The 23575-nt window shown below is 39.3% G+C and overlaps 2 long non-coding RNA genes across 2 annotated transcripts in view; one reads left to right on the top strand and one right to left on the bottom strand.

Annotated features, from left to right (window-relative positions):
* Positions 1-839: 839 nt before the first annotated feature.
* LOC124901604 (uncharacterized) lies at positions 840-22028 on the top strand. Its single transcript, XR_007060262.1, has 2 exons — positions 840-967; positions 20422-22028. It is a non-coding gene; the product is annotated as an uncharacterized LOC124901604 (long non-coding RNA).
* The window catches only part of LOC105375195 (uncharacterized), a 29625-nt gene continuing 27982 nt past the window's right edge, over positions 21933-23575 (bottom strand). The window contains exon 3 of the long non-coding RNA XR_927105.2: positions 21933-21995. This is a non-coding gene — a long non-coding RNA (uncharacterized LOC105375195). The remainder of the gene's footprint in view (positions 21996-23575) is intronic.

The following is a 23575-nucleotide window of genomic DNA, read 5'->3' as shown; positions in this document are numbered from 1 at the left end:
TTATATATGCTTCCTGGTAGTTCACACTCCTATTTTTCTCTCTTAATTTCATGCATCTTTAGAAATATTAACTGGAAATGATGGAAGTCAGCATGATAGAATAACTGACTTCACACTCTGTATTTTGAAATAATAAAAAGAATAATGTATTACCCATGGGGAAAATCACTCTTCCAGAATTTCAACAATCTTGTTGATGGCTGTTGTGAGACCTCAGTTCTTGTCTTATTAGTTTAAAAGAACTTAAAGAAGAGACACACAGCAAAGGAGCTGCAGCATAGAGCAATTTATTGCAAAAGAGAAAGAATATTCTAAAAGCTGGGTGCAGAATAGACAGTGCACCCTGAGAGAGGATTCATGGCAGGCTGCTCATAAAGAAGAGAAAGCATGGACTGGCCCTAGGGAGACTACCCTTATGGGAATCTTACATGATTATTCATAAGGGTGTGGAAGGAGATGTTACTAGTAAGCATATTGTGGGTGGTCCTCTGGATGCACATGTGCAGTAGCTGTACATGCTTATTCATAGGTCGCATGTCTCATTAACGTCTTAAATCTCCACCCAGGGGTTTTTTTAATATTAGTATTTTTTATATTAGTATTATAATGAGCAAAGGGTCAGTTTGAGGACAGGTAAAATCAAAATGTGCATGCTCTCTACAGAGGAAATTCCCTACTGAAAATAGCTTTGCTTGAATGAGCTTGACTACAGTGTCAACACCAGGGCTTATTGTGTTGGTGGTCATCACGGTTGCCACGTCTGAAAGACGTGGTTACTTCCTTGACTACCTCTCCTGCCTCAATCTTTCAGATACATTCCAGTGTTAGTTCACCATACATATAAATCAAACCCACAATCTGTTAATTGTCTTATTATATGAAGAATGGTCTTGGGCAAAAGAAAGAAAGCATCATCCTTGCTTCAAAAGTGTTGCCAGCCTAAGCCAGATATGGCTACAACCAGTGGGTGAGTATAGTGGCCACTAGAATGGGCACAGGACTGGGTAGTCAGGAGCCTAGGAGTCTGGGCCCAGTTCCCTTAATCTGCTGGGTGATGTTGATATGAAGTCACTTGGCATCCCGGAGCCTGCGTTTGTTCACCTGGAAAGCAAAAGCATTAGAGCAGGTGACTTTTGGGATCCATTGCAAGTCTAGAATTCTAGCATTTTGGTGACAGCCACAAAAATCATCACATTATTGGTGTAAAAAAAATAGTTCTCCTGTTTTTCCAGGATAGTATATAAGCTTCTGAGCCCCACTGTGAGGTGGGCAATCACTCTGTGATTCTCCCCATGCACACATTGTGTATGCATTAAATAAATTGTATGCCTTTTCTCCTGTTCAAACATGTATATATATATGTACGTATATATATAGGGGCAGAAAAATGATAATTTATAAACATGTATCTGTCAAGGTTGAGCTAAAATTCCATTGTTTCCCAGTAATAAGAAAATACTCATTTCATTTCTGACCCATTCATTTACCAAGTAGTACTACCAATCCCCCAAAGAACAGGAGATACAGAATCTTTATCAAGGAAAAAAAATGCCCTTTGGCAATAGTTTAGAGGAGTTTTCTTTTGTATTTCCATGTTATTCTGGAGGAAATAAGATAATGACACGCACATTCAGAATGTGGCCATTCTGCAGGACAAATGACCCTGTTTCTTGAACAAATTAGTAGCATTTAAAAGAGGAAAGAGATTGGCTTACATTAAGAGAAACCTTAAGAAACTTATGAAGTGCAATGTGTGGTCTTTGTCTAAATCCAAACTGTAAAAAAGACCCTTTAAAGACAATCAGGCATTATAGTGTTATTAATACAGGTATATTTTTATATCAGTCTAAGCAAAACATCACCTACTGCATTTCAAAGATTTTCAAACTAACTTTAGAATTTCTACCATTTTGTATTTTCTCACCACTGCTCCTCTCAACTTTCATAATATCTTTGCTTAGTTTCCTTCCTTAGAAAGGAGAGTCTGAGGCAAAGACTTATGTGTGAGTACTTGATTGGTGAAATCCTGAAAAGCACAAGTGAGGAACAAGGGGAAATGAGGGGGCAAGGAAGGAAGGGAGGAAGGAAGGAAGGAGGGAAGGGAGGAAGGAAGGAAGGAAGGAAGGAAAGAAGGGCCAATATAAGGATACATTATTGCATTGGCCACCAAAGAAAACAGCTGGTGACTTGATCCTCCAGGACCATCAGAAGAGCCATATGAATGGTATTTCACAACCATCCATTTAAGGGAAAAACACAGGGAGAATTTGTTCTTCACCCTTTATTGGGTAGAGGTTTGCCCTATGGGGCATTATTTTGCCTGCACTTCCAGGTTGCACAGGTATAGGTGCAGAGCAGGTTCCCTAAATTTGGAGCTAAAAAAACTGTTGGAAGCATAAATTATCCAGTTTCCTCACTTCTCAATTTCATGTTGGTTATATAGTTTTATTAGTATATAATATTATTATAGTATTAGTAAAAACAGAGAAAGTAGATGCTGCTCCAGGGAAGGGGTCAGGGGAGGTGGAGAGTGTTGAGTCACACCTGCAGTAGATGCTAGGAGAATAAGAAAAATTAGGAAGCAATTCATTATTATCTTTTTTTTCTGTAATGAAAGGGTAGATGTAATCCAGTTAAATTTCTGGAAATAATTATTCCAAAATTTGCTTTTGTTTTGAAACTATATTTTTGGTAATATTTTTTCTTTCCATTTTTCTTTAATTTTTTCTTTCCATTTTTCCCAGCTTATGACTCATATCTAGAAAAAGATGTTAATCTTTAAAGTTATAAAAACTTATGAAAAATGCTAATTATATTCAGTGTATTTAATGCAGTTGCATGATTGGGGAAAAAAATATATAATTTAACTGAGTCAATAGTTATAGATAGCCTTCTAGGTCATCATCCATCAAACACTTTGTATACTTCATACCAAGATTTAAAAAGATATTTTCCCACCTCTAAGGGGTTGATAATCTGGTTATAGAGACAAATGCCCATACAAAGTGCTTATGATATAAACATAAGTGCTTTAACTGAAGTACAAAGATCCAACAGAGAATGTGGTTTTGGGAATAGTAACAGTGGTGATGGTGGTAACAGCTTCATAAAGAAATTTGGTCTTGGTGAATTGAAACCCCTTTTGAAACCAACTAAATAATACTCAGATGCCAGATGCATGCATTGAAAGCAAAAAAAAAAAAAGAAACTGTAATTCTGGCTTGATCATTTTGATGCCAATAAATTATCTTTATACTAATGGTGTAATATTGTTGAAGGCTTCTCCTAGGACTTCAAAATAGTCTTCAACAGCCACGTGAGATGATTTTCTTCTTTGAAACCTTATTTCCAAATGAGGAGAGTTCCACATTAGCCTTAAAAAAAAATGCCAGCTTGTTCACAGACAGCAGGTTCTGTGCTGCTAGGGGTAATGAGAAGGTAGCATACTCATGCGGTCCCATCATAAAAGGATTTTCTGGATCCTGGGAACTCGGTCCCTAGAGCAGGTTTTATCCAAGATACAGTTCTTAGTTCAACCACCTGTATGTTAAAAATGAAGACAACTGGGATTCAACTCAGACCCACTGAATCAGATTTTCTGCAAGTAAGTCCAGGAATCTGTGTATATTTTTTAAATTACTCCAGATTATTTTTGTGCATGCAGAAAGGTTGCAAACCTTTCCTCTAGAGAGGAGTTGATCTGAAAGGTAGAGAGGCAGCTGCTTTGCATTATCTAATCTGACTCTTCTGCTGATGTCATTATCCCCAAATTTCCTTGGAAGGGTAATTGCAAAGGATACTTGGCTCCTATCAAGGAGTGGGTTTGCCAAGGGAGCCAGGAGTCTGGACAGGCTCTAAGAACTTTGGGGACCAAGGAAAGAATCTCCTGATGCATGGCTGAATTTGTATTCAACTTTGGATTTTCCCTCTTTGTTCTGTGTCAGTAATTTAAGAGTTGGAAGAGAAAAAATATGACTCATGACTCCAGACAGGGAAACGTGTTTATTTTTCAAATTATAGCAAAACAAACAACTCCAAATCTATGGTCTTGTTTTCCTTTTCACCCCTGTGAGCTCGTGTGTAGGATATAATAATTTCTAGCAGTTCAACTGGTTAGGATCCTGCACCAGGAATCCATGTGCTTAAAAATAAAAAAGAAGCCTAACCAAAGCTGCCCCATGCCCCAACCCCTGGGAACTTTTCCTTCATGAGGAGAAAAATCTGTCTTCAGCCTCCTGCACTGTAGAGGAATTGATGGGAAAGATAAGAAAACGAGAATGTCACATTTATGAGAATACACAGCTGTTCAGAAATCTAGTCTGCACAGCTTAACCTCACCATCCTCTCCAAAACCCCTCATGCCCTTTCAGATCCCCAGTACATCAGTTCATTGTCAGAGCTGATCATATAGCTTTTAGGGTATTTTAATTAGTCCAGTGTTCTTTGGGCTTGAAAATATGCTTTGACTTTCTCTACTAAAATTTCGGTTTAAAAAGGTGGCATGTTGTCCATTTCTTCATATATGCTTAAGAGAATCAAAGCTTACTTAGACATCTTTTGGAAACAAGTACAGAAGCACATTTGAAAACAGCTTAGGAATGTTTGTAAAGATGGCTCTGTTCACCGTCTGCCCTTATGATCAGTCAAATAAGCAAAATCTAAATCCCCGGCTCCCTCCCTGTGCAAGGAGCTACCGCTATTCCCATGAACAGGGCTTGCAAGGCCTGGAAGACTTTCTCAAAGTCACGACCTTTTAATGTCTCATTGATAGAGAAACCCAGAGAGGCTGGACTTGTAATTACTCCTGCACTAACCTGTTATCTTTCTATATGAAAAAATATTTAACTTTATTAACAGAATTGAAAGAGTCAAATAAAATCTAGAATACCTTTTATTCTATTAACTAACTCAGTAGTTCTTTTTAAAACCTGGGAAAAGATTAAAAGCAAAAGCAATAAGTCAGCAATTAGAGCCTCTTGTCCATGGTGGTATTTGTTAATTCTGGAAAGACATGCATGAAAGACTGAGAAGGTGACCCATGCTTTTAACAGTTTCTGGGGACTTAAGGGAGAAAAACCAGAGCCTAGGATTCACCAAGTGAGAGGGTTAGCGATCACCATGTTTTGAACTGGAACCCAAAAAGACCATACTAAAGAAAGTTCCTCTCATGGATGGAAGCCTATCTTTGAATCATCTCAATCCTTGAAATTAGACTAAGATGACACAGCCAAGCATGGTAGCTGATACCTACAATTCCAACACTTTAGGAGGCTGAGGCAGGAAGATCACTTAAGTCCAGGAATTCAGGACCAGACTGGGCAACATAGTGAGACATCTCTATAAAAAATTTAAAACTTAGCCATGTGTGGTGGCTCATGCCTGTAGTCCCAGGTCCTTGGCGGGGGCTGAGTTGGAAGGATCACTTAAGCCCAAGAGGTTGAGGCTGCATTGAGTTGTGATTGTCCCACTGCACTCCAACCTGGGTGGCAAAGTGAGACCTTGTCTCAAAAAAAAAAAAAAAAAAAATCTATTAAAAAATTTTCAAAAAATACAATGTAAGCAGAAAACAAAAAAAATTAAGATCATATCATAGCAGAAATCAATGAAATAGAGAACAGAAACCAAAATCTAGTTTTTTGAGATCAATAAAATTATTGTTAGCCAGACTGATCAGGAAAAAAAAAGAAGGCACAATGATTAATTTAAGGTTTGAAAGAGGTGATGTCACTGCAGATTCTTTAAATATTAAAAAGATAATAAAAAAATACAAGACACTTAGAAAACCTAGATGAAATAGACAAATTTCTTGACAGATGAAAACTGCCAAAGCACACTCAAGAAAAATTAGATCACCTCATTATACTACACGTGTTAAAGAAATTGAATTGACAGTAAATTTCCTCTCTATAAATTAAACCCCAGGCCTAGATGGTTTCACTTGTGACTCCTACCAAACATTTAAAAAAATCATTCCAATTCTACATAAGCTTTTCCAGAAAACTAAAGTAAAAGAAATAATTCCCAAGCCACTTATGAGACCAGTATGCTCCTGAAACCAAAACTAGACAAAGGCAATAAAAGAAATGTATAGACTGAAATCTCTCATGAATGTAGATGTCAAAATTCTTAATAATACTTTAGCAAAATGAATCCAACAATATATTAAAAAGGATAACGCATTATGTCCAAGTGGGTTTTATTCCAAGGGTTTTGCAAAGTTGGTTTAACAAAAATATGGCTATTCAATTGTTTCAGCACAATATGAACTGTTCTTACACATCTAAATTCAAGACTCATTATACAGCAACAATAATCAAAATACTCTGGAGTTGACATCAAGATAGACAAACAAATCAATGAAACTGGATAGAGAGTCCAAAATAACTCTATGCTTTTGTGGGAAATTGATTTTAGACAAGTTGTTAGAATGCCTAAAATGCAAAGGCTAATAATATGAAGTGCTGGTAAGGATGTAGAAGAAGGTGAGCTCTCATATGGTGATGATGGGAATGTAAAATGGTATGGTACAACCTCTTTGGAAAACAGTTCCATATTATCCAGCCATTCCACTCTTAGATATTTACCATAGAAAAAAGAAAGCATATACCCACATAAAGACTTGCACATGAATGTTCATAGTGCTTTATTTTTAATAGGAAAAGCTGGAAACAACCCAGATGTTCATTAACAACAATTTTGGTATATTCATATCATGGACTATCACTCAACAATAAAAGGAATAAACTATGATCTATACCACAAAAGTGTAGCAACATTAATGAGTCTCAAAACATTTGTGCTGAGTGAAAGAACCCAGACAAAAAAGAATATGTATGTTAAGATTTCATTTGTGTAACATTCTAGAAAATGCAAACTAATTTATAATGGCAGAGAGTAGATCAGTAGTTGCCTAACAATCAGGAAGACAGGGAGAGAAAAGAGGTAGGGGTTATGAAATAAATTTTTGATGGCGATGAATATGATCATTATCTTGCTTGGGATAAAGATTTCATGGATGTCAAAATATGTCAAAGCCTAGCAAATTATGTATTTGAAATATGTTGCTTATTATATGACAATTATACCTCCATAAAGCTGTTTTAAAAGTGAGTGGTGTGTCCATTTTACCTTCTTAAGAAACTTTCACTTGGAGCCCTCTCTCCTACTGCACCAATGTACCTGCTCAGGTTGCTCCTGTTGCTAGCTGTCCTCCTAGACATCTCCCTTCACTGTCATCCTAATAATTTATCTTTGCCTCTCCTGTATGTATCTCCTTTGTCTTGGATTCTGTATCTTCCTCTTTCGTGGTTTACTCCCTCAGTAAGGTGGATGAAATCATCAAGTTGCTTCCTCAGAAAAGGTACATATAATGTAAAATCCTTGAGCTCTCCTGAGAGAAAAAAGAGAACTTGTCCAAGACTTATATCTTATAAATTGACCTCCCAGAAAAAGAGTTGACTCTCTTTAAGCCTCAATTTAAATAGGGGATGCCTGATACTTCTGATCATCAACTTTCGGACCCCAGTCTTCCAACCATTATAGGGGAGGAGCGTTACTAACCATGAATGCTGATAATATAAGGTCTGACACTATTTGCCTCTTCATGTAGCTGCAACCTAAAGCTTGAATCCTAGCTCCTTGATCACCCCAGAGAAGAGGCTGATGCTAACTCCAACCAAAAATAGTGTCTTGGCAGAAAAGGGCTGGAGATAATTTTCTGCCAAGTACTACTGCCACTATATTCTGGCCTCTGATTACACAGATGACTTATTAATTCTTCCCTGTTTATGTAGTGTAAAAGTTCCAAAGCCCAAGTGTCTGAGTACATCTCCCCAAGTCTGACATCTCGCTCTGTCAGACTGTGCTCTCCCTTGGAATATGATAGACAATGGGAGAACTTCACTGTTCTGTTGCTGATGTTGCTACCATGAATTTCCCTAGTGAACATTGCTCCAGCAGCCAGCAGCCCTAATATGTATGCTCTCTAGATATTTGCCATTGTTTGCAGAACATCTTGAATATATAGAAAAGTCTTTATTCTCCTGCCCTACCCCCATTACTGCATCACCTTCACCACTATCTAATTGATAGTTTGGCTGGGTATAAAATTCTGGGTTGAAAATAATTTTCCCTTTATAATAAATAAACTCATTCATCAATCGTGTACTCAATTTCAGTGTTACTGCTCAACAGTTTAATTCACTCTGACTTCCAGTCTTTTGTATGTGTCTTGCTTTTGTTTTGCGTTTCTTTTTGGAAACTTAAGAGTCTTCCCACTGGTCCAGTATTCTGAAATTCTATACACATGTATCTTGGTATAAGTATTTTTTACATCTATTAAAAATAGATTCAAGAACACAGCTGTTAGGCCTTTTCTACCAGGAAATTCATGTGCTTTTGTTCTGGAAATTTTTCACTGGATTATTTCTTTGATGATGATGTCCTCTTTATTTTATCCTCATCTCTCTTATACTCAAATTTTGGACTTCCTGGGCTAATTCTTATGTTTTTTTCCTTTCCTATTTCTCATTTCTTTGTCCCCTCTTTCAACTTTCTGTGAGATGTACTAATTTTATCTATGAATCCTTCTTATTTTTCATGTCTGCCATCATAATTTTAATTTCTAAAAGCTCCTTTTTGTCTTCTGAATGCTCCTTTTTTGTAGCTTCTAGTTCACTGTTTCATGAAATATGGTCTTAATTTTCTGGGAATATTAATGAGTTATTTCTTGGCTGTTACTGCTTTTTTGTTCTTTATTTCTTCTCCCTTCTGTATCATTGTCTCTATCCTCTTTGTTTTGATTTCTGTCTTTCGTGTTAGAAGTTATTCTCAAGGGTCTGTTGATCTTTAGCAGACACTTTAGTCATGTTTAAGGGTGGGACCCAAAAGACCTAACTGGAAGCTTTACATGGAGAGTTGGAGTTAGTTAATTGGTTTGTCATGTACAAGAGGTTATGACAGAAAACAAAGGAAAAAAAGAAAAACGTCTCCACAGAAAATGTGCAGATACATAATAATTTTACATTCACATGTGGGAGCTCACAGATTAAGAACTCCTAGTTAACGAAGTAAAATATTCATTGTTGTTTTTATACCTTGAAACTAGTTAATAATGAACAAACACCTTTCTAGCCTTTGCTTGCATACTTAGAATGAAAAGGAGCCCACTATCAGTAAGTTCAGTTCATTTGACCCTGGAAAAGCTCTATTATTAGAAGATACTCTTACTTTGATCTAAAATATGTCTCTCCGTAATTTCTACCATTTTGTCTTATATATACTTACTGCATATATATTAACATTCAAATGATTTTTTTTTTACTTTGTCCTTGGAGCTTTTTAACATAAGTGTTGTTAATCCCACATCAATAATTTCAGCCTTTCTGGGATATTCCTATAAAAACAATGCCTCTGATTTCTCTGCAAATAACCCTGAGAAAAATCAGAAAATAAACTGTCTCCCACCTGGGCTTCTAAGGACATAGCTGGATTGCTGGGTGCTTAGACTTGTGTTCTGCTTCAGACGAGAGATCCCAACTGGAGTACTCAGAGAGTATAGATTAATTCACATTGGGAAAGAGTCGATAACTACTGGGAAGGGGTGGCAGTTGACAACTAGAACTGTTTAGGCTGGCATCAGAGCTATTCGGGACCAGCTGAAATTTGGGAGCTTTGAGAGAGCTATTTCCTATCCAGACTGGTCAGAACCCTAACTGTCAATTCTTCAGTGACAATAGGAAGCTCTTTAGCTTTTAATGTTTTATAACAGCTTAATATGTGGCTTTATTCCCTATCTACTCAACACTAACAGGGTTAAAGGAGATCAAACCTATTCATTCACTTTTACCTGTTCTTTCACTCCGATGTTCTGAAAACTTTCACCTTTTCTTTCATGCCACACAAATCCTGGAGTACTGTCCTTATGCAACAGAGTGCCCAGGCAGTTTGGTCAATCTTTCACAGGCAACAAAATCTATGTGTTTCTCCTACATTCAGCTGAAGAGGGGCTACCAACAAACATCCGTAAATACACAGAGTATGTTGCATTAGCACAGGTGGAAAACCCCTAGCATTCTTTAAGCTGCCATCTAATTCCCTTAAAAGCCAGTCCTTCCACAGTTCACCCTCAGAATGGAATCAAGGTTCCTTTAGCCTTTCTATCTCACCCGCTTCCCCCTTAGCTTTAATATCACAAAGGGAGATGTACTTCCAGTCTCTAATCTGGCTCCATCCCAGCACCTGGCTCTCTTGCCTTTGCGTGAGGACGGGCCAAGAATGAACTCAGTGGGAGAGGATATGCAGGGAGGGCTGGAGCCAGGGGCAGAAACAACCCTCCTTCCAGAGGCAACGGGCTCCACAGCTGTCCCAGGCTTCAGAGCCCTGCAGTGCCAGTCATGAGGCTGGCTCTGCCATGTCTCTCCACACTCCTGGCAAGGGATCTTTTTGTTGTTATTCCCCCTTCTTCCCTTCTGATTCCAGACCCAGTGTTTGCTTGTCTTGCAGCCAAAGATAAGCTCCAGGCATTCAGGAGGCCACATTTTAGACACCCAAATAGAGCATTGACTAAGGGAAAGGAAAAATTTGTCTTAGAAATTGCTTTCCCGTTTGCTTTCTCCTTCCTAGTTCATTTTGATTAGGCAACACTGTGTGTATGGATTCAATGAAATCTCAGGGTGAAAATATCATAAAATGCATTGAGACTAACCTCATGTAATCCTTGAACCCCATTCACCCCATTCCAAATCTACCTTCACTCACAATTGCCTGAAATTTACTGTCTACCCAGGAAACACCCATATTTGCAGCCAGTGTTATTAGAATTGTCTTCTTCCATGACATTCATTGAAGGCAAGATGATGTCTGTTTGAAAAGAAAAAAGTCAAATTTGTTGGTGTGTGTACTGTGGATAGGGATTGTGACTGCATTCTGGGGCTTGCATTTAATCAAGAAATCCTTTCCTATTCTTCCCTATCAAATGGCTTGGGCAGCCTTTCTTCAGCTTCTAGTATGTTAAAAACAAAAATCTAAAACAACATTGAAATTTGCCTCTTTAGAGGATTAGGACTGAAAATGAAATGCTACAGGATACTGTGGTGGCTTAGAGTTGTGTTCATTTTGGGGGAGTCCAGAAGAGAAAATGGGGGACAGAAGGGTTAACCATTGCCTTCTGGGCAGGTCAGTTGATCTAGCAGACACCATAGTCCACTTTGTCTCCGTAAGAAGCATTGCCTGTTCATTGACTTTTGAAATGCAAAACACGCACACTCTTTACTGAGTCATAAATAGATGCAAACAACCCCTAAAACCCACTAGAAAATGAGGCAGAAAGGACAGTGAACACAGGACAGACATTAAAGACAAAACATGGTATAAAACCAGAAGTGACTGGTGACTGTCCAAACCAGAGGAAGTCAAACCACACCTACAAGAGAAGGAAAAGCATGATTCTTTATGACCTGAGAATAGTTTGATCTCTGCTACACAGAGGATGTAAGGGATGTAAAGTAGGGATAGTCCCTGCTGCCTGTGCATTCAGCGTGCCAATTAGAAAACTGGGGGCTGGGGCAGCATCAAGACGGGGCACGGAGTTTTATGAATGATCCCCTGTCTCTGGGAAGACACCTGTGGGGCCTGGTGAGGACATAATGGATAGTGACTGAGCTTCATGGCCTCCCCAGCACAGGAGGTGAGGCTCACAAAGCCAAGGGCCCTAAGCACACAGGGGACTGGAGAACAGACATTTTCCTTCTGTTCTTCAACCATTCAGTGAACAGCTGGGCACCAAGAAAATGAGCAGGTGATTTCAGATTTACGAAGCTGCATTCTGACCCCCTAGGCAGAGTCTTCGAGAACAGAAGGTAGGAGGCTGACAGAGATAGGTAGGTGTGGGCATCTGAACCCAAAACACTAGCTCTGATTACATATGGACCCTTGAACCAGCTGCTAGAAAGGGTTGCCATGGTGCCAGGAAACACCCTTTCTCAGTGTGGAAAAGCCAAGTAGGGATCACCATTTGCTGAAGATTTCTGTTGAATATGCTAGTTCTTGAATTTAGAATGTAATTTAAAATTTCTGCTGCAAATACATCTAAATTTAGGCTTTGATAAAATTCTAGGATTTTCCTTAGATCCTATTGCTTTTTACAGATAATAAGCTCATTTCCACTAGTGATAGGGTCACCAACCCATCTCCCACCGTTCCCTTCCTATGGCAATGAGAACAAAGATGAGAAGAACCAAAGGCAGGAGATGTGCAAATATCCTCATACAGAGAAAGCAACATCACACGAGTTTTATGACAATTCCAGTGCTTACAAAGGAGCATGGAATAAACTAGTTAAGTGATATAAATATTATTGTTCAGAGATATTTGCCGCCCCTCCCTGAAGGAGGATCATATATTTTCTTACCCATTGACATTAGGCTTGGCCATATGAGTTAGTTACTTTCCAAAATGAAATGTAAGCAGAAATGACATGTATGTGTCATTCCAGGCAGAAGCTTTAGGGCCAGTACACGATCTGCCACGTTCTCCTTCCTCTCTGCCAAGAGGTTGTTTCAAATAGATGCTGCTCCTTTACTTTGGGTGCCTATAATGAACTCAATGTGAAGCAGGGCTGGAGCAGAACCATGAATGAGAAATAATCTTTATTACAAACCACTGAGATTTGAGGACTGTTCATTACAGTGGAATAACTTAGCCTACACTAGTTAATACAAAGTACCTTTAGAGGCCATATACATCGACCTTATTTTCAAAATATGCATATTTGAGTTTAAAGGATTAACAAGAACTACAGCAAAATCTTAATTGTGATAATTTCCTGAGTTAGGAAGTATGATTTTTTTCTACTTCATGCTTTTCTAATATTCCTAAAATTTCTACAGTGAAAAAATATTTTATTATTATTAAGGAAAACATAACTGTAATATTCTTTAAAAGACAAAGTTTCAATCCTTGCCTAGTGTGGAAGTTCTATTGAGTCTCACAAGTCATCATTAATTATATGAATTTGGGTGACAAGTATAACACTTTTAAAAGTATTATATTTCTAAGACCTGCAGCAGGTTTCTTTCATGAGCCATGGCTGGCATCTTACCCCGCTTCCTTCTACTTCCTGTCAATCTACAGTCTCCCACGGGTTCCTCCAGGGCAGTGCTAGACTCCAGTGCCCTGAAGTTATCTCCAGTGTGGGTGGCCTACAGCAACTAGCACTCAACATAGAAGAACCTCTATCCTTCTTAGGAGCTCTGTGCACACACTCTTCTCTTGTGTCTCATTTGAAATCATCAAAGTCAAGGGATTCTTTTCCAAGGTGTGTTCCTTCCCTATCAAATGCAAAAATCTGTATCCATGAATATGGGAATAGAGGAAATGCCTCTTTCCTGAAGACATATCAGGATATTGACATTGTATCCCAGCACTAAAACATCTGGGAACCCCTACTTCAAAAGACCAAAAATTAGGGCATGACCTAACTGCATTTGAAACTAGACTCCCATCACTGGGGTGGGCAAAAGTCCCTTGCCTAGACCCTGTTTCTATTTTTTTGGGAAGATCTCCTCTGCCCGTGTTCCCCATGGCCTCTGGCTCTGCCCCTGGGGACTCCTCTTGGTTTTTTACTCTCCTTGGCCACATTTGAGGAAGGCCTCATGGGAAGTAAATAACATTTGAAGCTGTCTTCTATTTTTGGAAGATAAAGGTGCCAGAGTAGTCAAAGGCTTTGGACAAATCAAAAGGCTTTTGTTTGTTTGTTTGTTTGTTTGTTTGTTTGTTTGTTTCCAGGTTAGTGGTTTTATTGACAATAGAACCCCCTGAAGAAATCAGTAGTCTTCTGACCTATTTGTCTCTAGTCAGTTTCAGATGTAGAAATCATACCTAAATTCTCTCTAATACATACTTCTCAAAACTGCCTTATTTCTATTTCTTCAGCTTAGTGGTGGTGACCTTTGAGCATGTCAGGCTTGAAGAGGAAGCCTATACCATTAAACTGATCTTCGTCTTGAAACCTAGTCAACTGATGATTTTTACTGTGCCATTGTGGCTCAAAGGCTTTTGTAAACCCTATCTGTTGCTGTCTGGAGTATAGAAATGGTTAACTTTTCCTAATTTGCAAAGCTCTGAATTTCTGAGATTTCTTCATTTCTTTTCATTTTTGCTTGCCACCTAGCCAGTGTCTTCCTGAGCTCTTCTTTTTTTTGTGAGAGTTATTAAGTACAGCCAATAATAATCAATACACGCCATCTCCCCCATGCTGCAGGCTGAATAGATATGTTGAGGTATACCTTCCAAGTGTTTTGTCACTACTTAACATTAGTTTTCTTCTTCCAGCTCCAGATATCAATTATTCTGCCACCCACTTGCTTCCCTATATGCCACTTCCTTTGAAGGAACACATTTCTGGAACTACCAGGCTACAATCCAGAAAACAGAAGCTGTTCTTGGTATTCTGAGTAGGAAAGAGCTTCATACAGGGAATTAGAGGAGACACAGCTATTGGAAAGTCAAGAGAGCATAGATCAGGAAGGTCGCTTTCAGGAAATCCAGAAGTACAGGATCATTGGAAAGCCACCACCAATGGCCTCAGCTTCTGCAGCATGAACATAGTTCATTTTCAGAAAGACCTGCATTGCGGTTGGAAGTCACTGCCAGTGATCCCAGCTGCCTACAGCACAGAAGCAGATTATTCTTAAGAAAATGCTCTAAAGCAAGCCACCAGTAAAATCCTACATTAGCTGTCTGCTCATGCTTCTATGAGGAAAACAGCATCTCTCTTCTTTCTGCCTTCCCAAATCTTTGGAAATCCCCCTTTGGAGGAATCCAACCAAGACCTTCCTGGCAAGGGAGACTGAGAATGCAGTTTCTGTTTTCTCCCCCTGCAGTTCAGATAAGACTGCTTAGATGGGTGATGATAATATTGAAAACCAAAAATAATATCCTGCACACTGAAGCTCACAGAAATTATTAAAGGTCACGACTGTTATATTTTTGACCATTTTAATTTTCCTGCACCATCTTATCCTGCTCTATGTATCTTGTTTAGCATGTTGATAGCATATAATAAATTATTTGAGGACAATAGCATAAGAAAAGTAAGGTTCCTTCAAGGTCTAAAGTTTTAGCCTATGAGCCTCAAATAAATCTGGACTTCGATAAACATTATTATTGAGTAGAAAAATTATGTGATGAGGAGAGAGGACAAGGCCCACTCCATAGTTTGCTACTAGATTCCACCTTAAAGAAACTGATATTCCTTCTCTAGGCCTCATTATTTCTCATCTGGAATAAAGGTTTTAGACTAGATATGTGGTTTCCAGACTTTCTGATAGCTATGGAGCCATTCTTGAAATGAAATCCCACAAGGAGTTCCAGTAAAGGGAGGATCTGGGCCGGGCACAGTGGCTCACACCTGTAATCCCAGCACTTTGAGAGGCTGAGGTGGCTGGATCACCTGAGGTCAGGAGTTCAAGACCAGCCTGGCCAATGTGGTAAAACCCCATCTCTACTAAAAATACAAAAATTAGCTGGGCATGGTGGCGTTCACCTGTAATCCCAGCTACTGGGGAGGCTGAGGCACAAGAATCACTTCAACCTGGGAGGCAGAGGTTGCAGTGACCCAAGATCTCACCACTGCTCTCCAGCCTGGGCAACAGAGTGAGACTCTGTCTTAGAAAAAAAAAAGTGGGGGAGAGGAGCTGCCCATTTGTAGTGGGATGGAGACCTGGAGCCCAGCCTTCCTGGGACAGCTCTGGAGAGTCCCTTCGGCTCCATCAGGCATAGTTTAAAAACTCCAGGATGGGCCTATCTGTAACATATCCCCCTCTACTTCTAAAGTCATATGACTGTAATCATTTTCCAAGCTTTGACTCTGTTGGAGGTAATGCCAAACACTCATCCTAAAACACATTTTCAGCAAGCTCTATAACTAATTTGTATTTGTAGGCACATCCAGTCAAAAAAAAAAATGCAGGGGAGAAGGGCTCTATTAAAGTGGGACACGCTCAACATTTTGAAAGCATTATGTTTGTGACCCAAAACTCAGGTTCCAAATGCTGTACGACTAACTTAAAAATTTGATGGATCATTATTCAGGTGTTACTCTGATCACCGAAATTATGCCACAGAAGAATGCCCCTAAGCACTGAAAAAGAAAAATGAACAGGTGCTGCTTAGGGGACAGCAATTAGACTTAACCAAAACCTGCTGATGTTGTCATGTGGAAACATAAAACCAATAATAATTTCAAAGGGAGACAGAATTCCACAGCATTCACCAGTCCTTTGCAGCTGTATTAAGTGGAGAACCAACCATGGTTAGGGTCCATTTGGAGTAATTTAAAAGACAGTTCATGCAAGAAAGCAGAGGGGACCAAAATGCATGATTACTAGAACTTTCTTGACAATTCTGTCTTCTTGCCCATTCCCAACTAAGCTTCCATGTTTTTCTTTTTCACTGTGTAATGACCTTATTTGAGCCACTACAAAGGCCAGATCATGAAATCTGCCACTGAGAGCTCAAGTAGGAATAGCCCATTGCAGCAACTTCAGGGAACCCATGAAGGTCTATAATTTTGCCATGTCCTGAGGACCATAAGTTTCTGCAAGCTGTGATGTACCTGGGATAACCCTGCACTTGGCCCTAAAGCCCTCTCACTTCTTTCTAAGATTGCCATGCAGCCATAAATCTGCAAAGCACCAGAAGTCATGTGTGGCTTTTTGTTTAATCGTGATTCCAACTGTGCCTCTAAATCCTTTTGATTCTGAAAAGATCAGCTCAAATCCCGTGTCTTGTTTGATTCCATCCCTAACAACCAAATCCATGATGCCTTCTCCTCTTGCCTTATTGCCTCTGACTTAGTTAAGCATTGTTAATGGTTGCTAGTGTTAACTCTATCTAGGTTGTATCCTCTCCCCTCACCAGAATAAAATAGAAAGCTTATAAACTTTGATATCATAAGCATCAGGATTTGAATCTAGGCTCTGCCCCTTTTTAGCCAATGACCCTCATGTCACCATGAACTTCAGGTTACTTGTACGTAAAGGGGATAATGATTCTGGCATTTCCCAGTGCACTTGCAAAATGCCTAGCATTAAGCTTAGCATATAGTGGCTGCTCAATAAATACAGTTACCTTCCTCTCCTTCCCCTTTTTCCCCCAAATTCCATGTATTTGTATCCTGGGCATATTTTACCTTATGGACAATGACGAATTCTTACTGTGTTTGATAATAAATCTGAAAACAGTATATCAGAAGCAGAGATGAGGAAGTCTTGTGGCAATAGAAGATCAACAGACTAATTTTCTTTCTCCTCCTCCTCTGTGATCTTCACACCAGAATACCCCATGGTAGAAGCCACTGTACAAACCTCCTGACTGGGCAAACCTAGAAGATGTGGCAGAAGTCACAAATTTTCCAAACCTGATTCAATCTACACTTATGGGGGATTAGTAATCTGATCATTATCAGTGGGGACTATCATAAGTGTAGACAAACCACAAGTGAGTGGTACAGATTTTTTCTTATTGATTATCTATAATATTACCTCAATTTTCTAAGTCTCTACTCTTTTTCTATTATGTGGGCAAAATATAATGAGTTTTTAAAATGTGACTAAGTAACACAACAAAATAAGAGTTTAACTCAGAATTTCCATCACCTCAAGCTTGTTTTCCCCTGAGGAAAGAACCACCAGCCCAGGATCCCAGCGTTTCATGGAAATCTAGATGTCTCCTTCAGCAAAGTGGTTAATTATCAAATATGTTTGGAAAAAGTAGTGCTTTTGTCCCTGGGCTTTGCTATGGTTTGAATAGCTCCCCTCCAAAATTCAGGTGTTGCCAATGTGATAGCATTAAGATGAGGGGTCTTTCGCAGATGGCTAGGCCATGAAGACTTCCCCCTCATTAATGACATGAAGGCCCTTGTAAAAGAGAATTCATGTAGCATTGCTCCAGTTTGCTCTTCCTCCTTCTGCTTTGTGAGGTTGCAGCAGGAAGGCCCTCACCAGAAAAAATGCCAGCACCTTGATCTTGGACTTTCCAGCCTCCAGAACTGTGAGAAAAACATTTCTGTTTTTCAGATACTGAGTAATTTGTAATCAGATACTGATTTGTAATCAGATACTGTTTTCAGATACTAAGTAATTTGTAATTTGCTGTAGCAGCACAAACACACTACAACAGGCTCCCTCTGGAAAGATGCCTGGTTGCATAATCACAGAAGACATTGGACAGCAGAAGCCACATATTTCCTAAGACCTCTCAGACTTATGGGATGCCAGGTATTCCTGGTGAATTTCGTTTCACATGGTGCTTGGTTTCTCTTGGTTGTTTGTGTCAGAAGAGCTATTAACACCTAGTAGACACTGGTGTCCACTGGAACACAATTTGGGAAAAGTACCTCTGGTCCACACCCCTCATTTTAGAAGTGAAGTTGCTGAGACCCAAAGATACTGTGACTAGTGACAGAAAATCCCAGTTTTTCAGATATTCAGTGTTCTTCCTAATCGCCCACATTTTCCTCAGGGCTAGATATGGTCTCATGAGAATATACTTCTTTCCTTTGTTACTCTTCTGTTGAATTATTTGCTGTGTGCATGTGCACGTGGATGTGTACACTGCAAAACAGGAGAGCACGCCCTTGAGAAATGTTGGCTCCCATCCTGAAGTGGACACTCATTCATACATTCATTCCACAGAACTAGAAGCCAACAGGACCACGTGAGGAGCACTGTCATGACTGCATGATCAGAAGAGGGAATGCCTGATTCCACCCAGTAGCTGAGATGACACAAGCTGGGTTGTGATCATTCACTCATTCATTATCTGTTGATTCCACAAAGCTTTCTTGAATGCTTGCTGTGTCAAACTGTGCACGGTGCTGTGGATACAAAGATAAGGAAGACACACTCCCTGCCTTCAAGAAGCTTACATTCTAGCATGAAAAACAGGCCTAGCCAGGCACGGTGGCTCACGCCTGTAATCCCAGCACTTTGGGAGGCTGAGACGGGCAGATCACAAGGTCAGGAGATCGAGACCATCGTGGCTAAAACAGTGAAACTCTGTCTCTACTAAAAAAATACAAAAAATTAGCCGGGCATGGTGGTGGGCACCTGTAGTCCCAGCTACTCGGGAAGCTGAGGCAGGAGAATGGTGTGAACCTGGGAGGCAAAGCTTGCAGTGAGCTGAGATCGAGCCACTGCATTCCAGCCTGGATGACAGAGAGAGACTCCGTCCCAAAAAAAAAAAAAAAAAGAAAAAAGTAAAACAGGCCTTCAATAGATAAGTTTAATGAAGTGATGGAACTGTTCTGAGATAAGCCAATTTCTACCTGAGACAACAGGAGATGGGAGAAGTGTGTTTTCTGGAAATAACACTTTGAGCACCTCCTAATAGTCACACACTGACTTTGTTTCCTACAGCACTTGGAGTTCTTTCCTCAAAAGCCCAAAGTATCTCAAGTTTCAATTGTTCAAATTAATCAGAGCAGCAGCAGAGATAATACAAAACAGGGACTAAGAGAAATGCCAATTCTTTGCTTTAGCACGCATCATATGAACATCCATCCACACCCCCACCAGCAGCTTGCCTTCCTAAGTGTGTTTTCTTAAAGCAAATGCTAACATTGGTTTATATCCCTTGAGCACACACCAGCTGGATAGTAGGAGGAAGCCAGTTCAGCATTAAAAATTAACTGCAGATAATTTAGAGGGCAGACAAGCCACAGGCAGATAACGGTGTGGAATATATCATTATAACCAGTGAGGGTCTGTCCAACCCTCCCTGCAACCTCATCTCCTGGCTCTGCTGAGGTTGTGGTCTTGTTACAGGTCTTAAGACACCCTTTTTACGAATATATCAGTAGGAGCATAAACAAGGTCACCTGAAATTTAGAGGACATTAATGAGATCTAGATAAATTCAGATGGCCCGGAATGCAGTTATTAGATCATTTTCAAGTGAATAAAAGGTGAAATTTGCTTTTTACTTTGCCAACCATCTTCTCGCCAGCAAATGCCCGCTGAAAACACTCTCCAAGGCCATAAAGCGATGGGCCTTGAAAGTATGTTTCAGAGAATAACTGAATCAAATTAAACTGCTGTTTATTTTTGCCATAGGAGCTCTGACAAATAAAAATGGAAGATGTTGTTGCCATTTTCATTGACTAAAACAAATCCTTACTGGGGAAAAAAAAGAGGAAAAAGAAACTAAAATGTCAGTTGCTCACATTGTCATTCCCTGCCACTCAGTAAATAAACATAACATCTATTAGTTGTCATGGAAACGTTCCGCCTGATTCTGAGCATCAGAGCTCCACAATAAAGAACCCCTGATATTTGACGCTGTGCACAAACGACTCTTTTGGCATTTCTCATGAGCTCATCAGCACAAGAGCTAACATTTTCCCTGTTTGTTTTCTTTTCAGACACGAATGCATTTGCTTCAGCAAAAGAGACATGTATCTTAGAAACCTATCAAAAATATTTGAATACAGCTACCTCGGCAATCTCTGCTCTACGGGCTCCTCCCCCCACCTTTCTTTTAACCTTTGCCTGAGAAGAATTTAAATGGCATATTTAGTGGCTGTATATTGTGCTTCCTGTACCCACTGCTGCATAAAAGGGATTGATTTAAATCGCTTACAGTAACCATGTGGGGGAGGAGGGTCTAGTTTTCTGCACCAAATGCTCCAGGATGCATAATAAGCAACCACAAATACAGACAACAAATGAGTGTGCTTGCATTTGTCTCTTCTCTGGTAAAGAATTATTCTTTAGTACGGATGGACTGCACACTTTTAGCATCAACAAGAGAGCAGCTCAGATGTGCGAGCACCAATAAAGGATACTTAAGCCTCCGTCCCCCAGGTAATGAGTCTCAGAAATGTTGGCTAAAAAAGTCAGAGAATGTTCCTATTTATAATTTTTTTGAATCATGAAATTTATAACACCTCCCAAAGCAGGAACGGACCAAGTTTAAAGATTACAGCTGAGTGCCAGTAAAGCGTTAAAGGCAACCATTGTTAATAACAATCGGCTGAAAAGCAAGACACAGCTCATGCTTTGGAGCCGTACTAAGAGATTCGGCATCTCTAAAATCGCTAGAGCCTTTGACAAGCCAGGCATAAATCAGGAGGGATTTAAATTCCTGATTTTCTGGCATTTTTTAAGCTATAAATCCTACACATTCCTAAAACCACATGGTCCCATAACTGGAGCTGAGGGCTAGAGTAGGTCCCTGGAACAGTTCAAAGGGTCAAACTGGAATTAGGAGCTCCTGCTTCTCTCTAGGCCTTAAGGCAATTTTTTCTGAAGGACATTTAAAGATTTTTTTTTTAAAGTCTTCTGAAATGAGGCCAAGAGGGTGTTACATTTATCCCAACAATCTACCAGGGCTTTCTCGTCTTTGGATGTAACCATGTTGGGATTTTTCTAGATCTTATTAATCCATGTCTATATACTCAAGATGGTTTGGATAGTCAGAGGTCAGAAAACAATTAAAGGAGGGAGACTAAATGGTCTATAAATGAATGTGATCTATTCAGGGTTTCTTAAAATGAGCTTAAGGACCATTTGCCTTCCTGGAGAGAGATGTGGATGGAAGAGGTGTCCTGCTCCAATCCATGACTTTAGCATGAGGAAAGCATTCAGGATGAATGAAAGAAAGAACAGAGCAGAATCAGGATGCCTGGGTAAGAGACAATAAGTCAAAATAAGATGAAATGAGAACCCAAACTACAGAGTGGCAGCGAAAATGCAGAGTGAATGTGGAAAACTTGATGAAGGTAAAATCTGAAGATCTTGGCACCTAATTGGATTCGCATGAGGAGAACCAGAGAAGGGAGAGTCACTCATGTCCGGGAGGAAAGAGCACAGCATTTGTAACCTAGAAACCTGGACTGAAGGTCTTTATTCTGCCATTTACTAGTTTTGTAAACTCTGGGAAGCCATTCACCTCTGAGTCTCATTTTTATCGGTTGCAAAACAAGGCTGGAAATACCTACAAAATAAATGAGAAAATGTATTAAATGTCTGAAAGATGATGAAATGGATCATTATTTAATAATAGTCACATTAATACTTATGACTTTGAAGTCATTTCTCTTTCTTGTGCCTCAGTTTCTTCATTTGTAAAAGGCAGACCAAAGTGAACCCTACAGGCCCTTCTGGCTCTAACATGTTTTCTATCTACCTGGAGGTGATCAGTTTGGTTTGTACTTAGTGAGTGTGGGCCAGCATTCATGTGAAAAGTTTCCTGATCAAGTTGGTAACACAGATCAGGACTTCTAGAGAGATATTTTTCAAATGGCCACACGGGCCCCAAGGCAGTATTGGGGAATTGCCTAGGGAGCATTTTTGATTGTCAAAATGATTTGGAGGGCACTCCTGAGGTTAGAGGATGGGAACCAGAGATATTAATTTGTTGCACTAGGTGCAGTATGAACACAACAATGAATTGTACTGTGCATGTCCCTCGAGATACTCGAGTAGGACATTGATACTCAAAGTGGGGTCTAGGGATCCCTGGAGGTCCCTGAGTCCTTTTCAAGGATAATTCAAGGTCAAAACCATTTTCACAGGAAGACCATCACATTATGTGCCTTTTTCATTGAGTTGATGTCTCCAATGATGACACAAAAAGAAATGGTAAGTGAAAATGTTGATGCTTTAGCATTAATCAAGGCAGCAGCACTCAACTGAACTATACTAGTGGTTACTGTATCATTCCCTACTATGCACTGGGTGTTAAACAAAATCACCAACAAAACCTTCTAGTTTCATTTAAGAATGTCCTTGATGAAGCAATAAAATTAACTTCATTGAATCTCAGCCCTTGAGTACATACCTTCTTAATATTGTGTCTGGCAAAATGCTGCATATCAAAATATAATTTTGTTTAAATTGCAAACTGAACTAGCCTCTTTTGTCATGCAACATCATTTTTTACTTGAAAAAAGAAGTGACATATGTACTATGATTATTCAGATGCATATCCAGCAGACTACTTTCTCAGAAACAACAAATAATTTTTTTCATTTCCAAGAAATTACTTCCAAGAAAACAACAAAAGTACTTGTTGCCAATGATAAAATTCAAGCATTAAAGAAAAAATTAGAATTATGGAAAATTTGTACCTACCACCATGAGCTTGGCTGCTTCTCAACACTAAAAGACCTTTCTGATGAGATAAGTGTCAGTATTAACTAATGTGATTTACTGATATTGTATAATGAACTGTGTCAACATTTGGAAGATCTGTATAACTCAGTGAGCCAATACTTTACAAATAACCAACGTGTGCTCTTATAAAATCATGCACGGTAAAAGAGCCACTCAAAGTGCAAACTAAGCCAATGGATTTTAATATAACAGAGTACAAAATGTTCACTGATATGGCTTCCAATTCAACATTGCAACTAACATTTAAGAAACTATCACTTGTTAAGTTTTGTGTGTTATCAAATAATATCTACATTACCTGAAAGATCTATTACACGCTCCTGTCTTTTCCAACTATTTCCCAGTGTGAGCCTGGATTTTCTTCAAACACTTCAAGCAAAATGCCATATGGCAACAGAA

Source organism: Homo sapiens, chromosome 7 (genome assembly GCF_000001405.40).
Source record: "Homo sapiens chromosome 7, GRCh38.p14 Primary Assembly".
NCBI lineage: Eukaryota > Metazoa > Chordata > Mammalia > Primates > Hominidae > Homo > Homo sapiens.
This window is presented reverse-complemented; position numbering and strand designations above follow the sequence as displayed.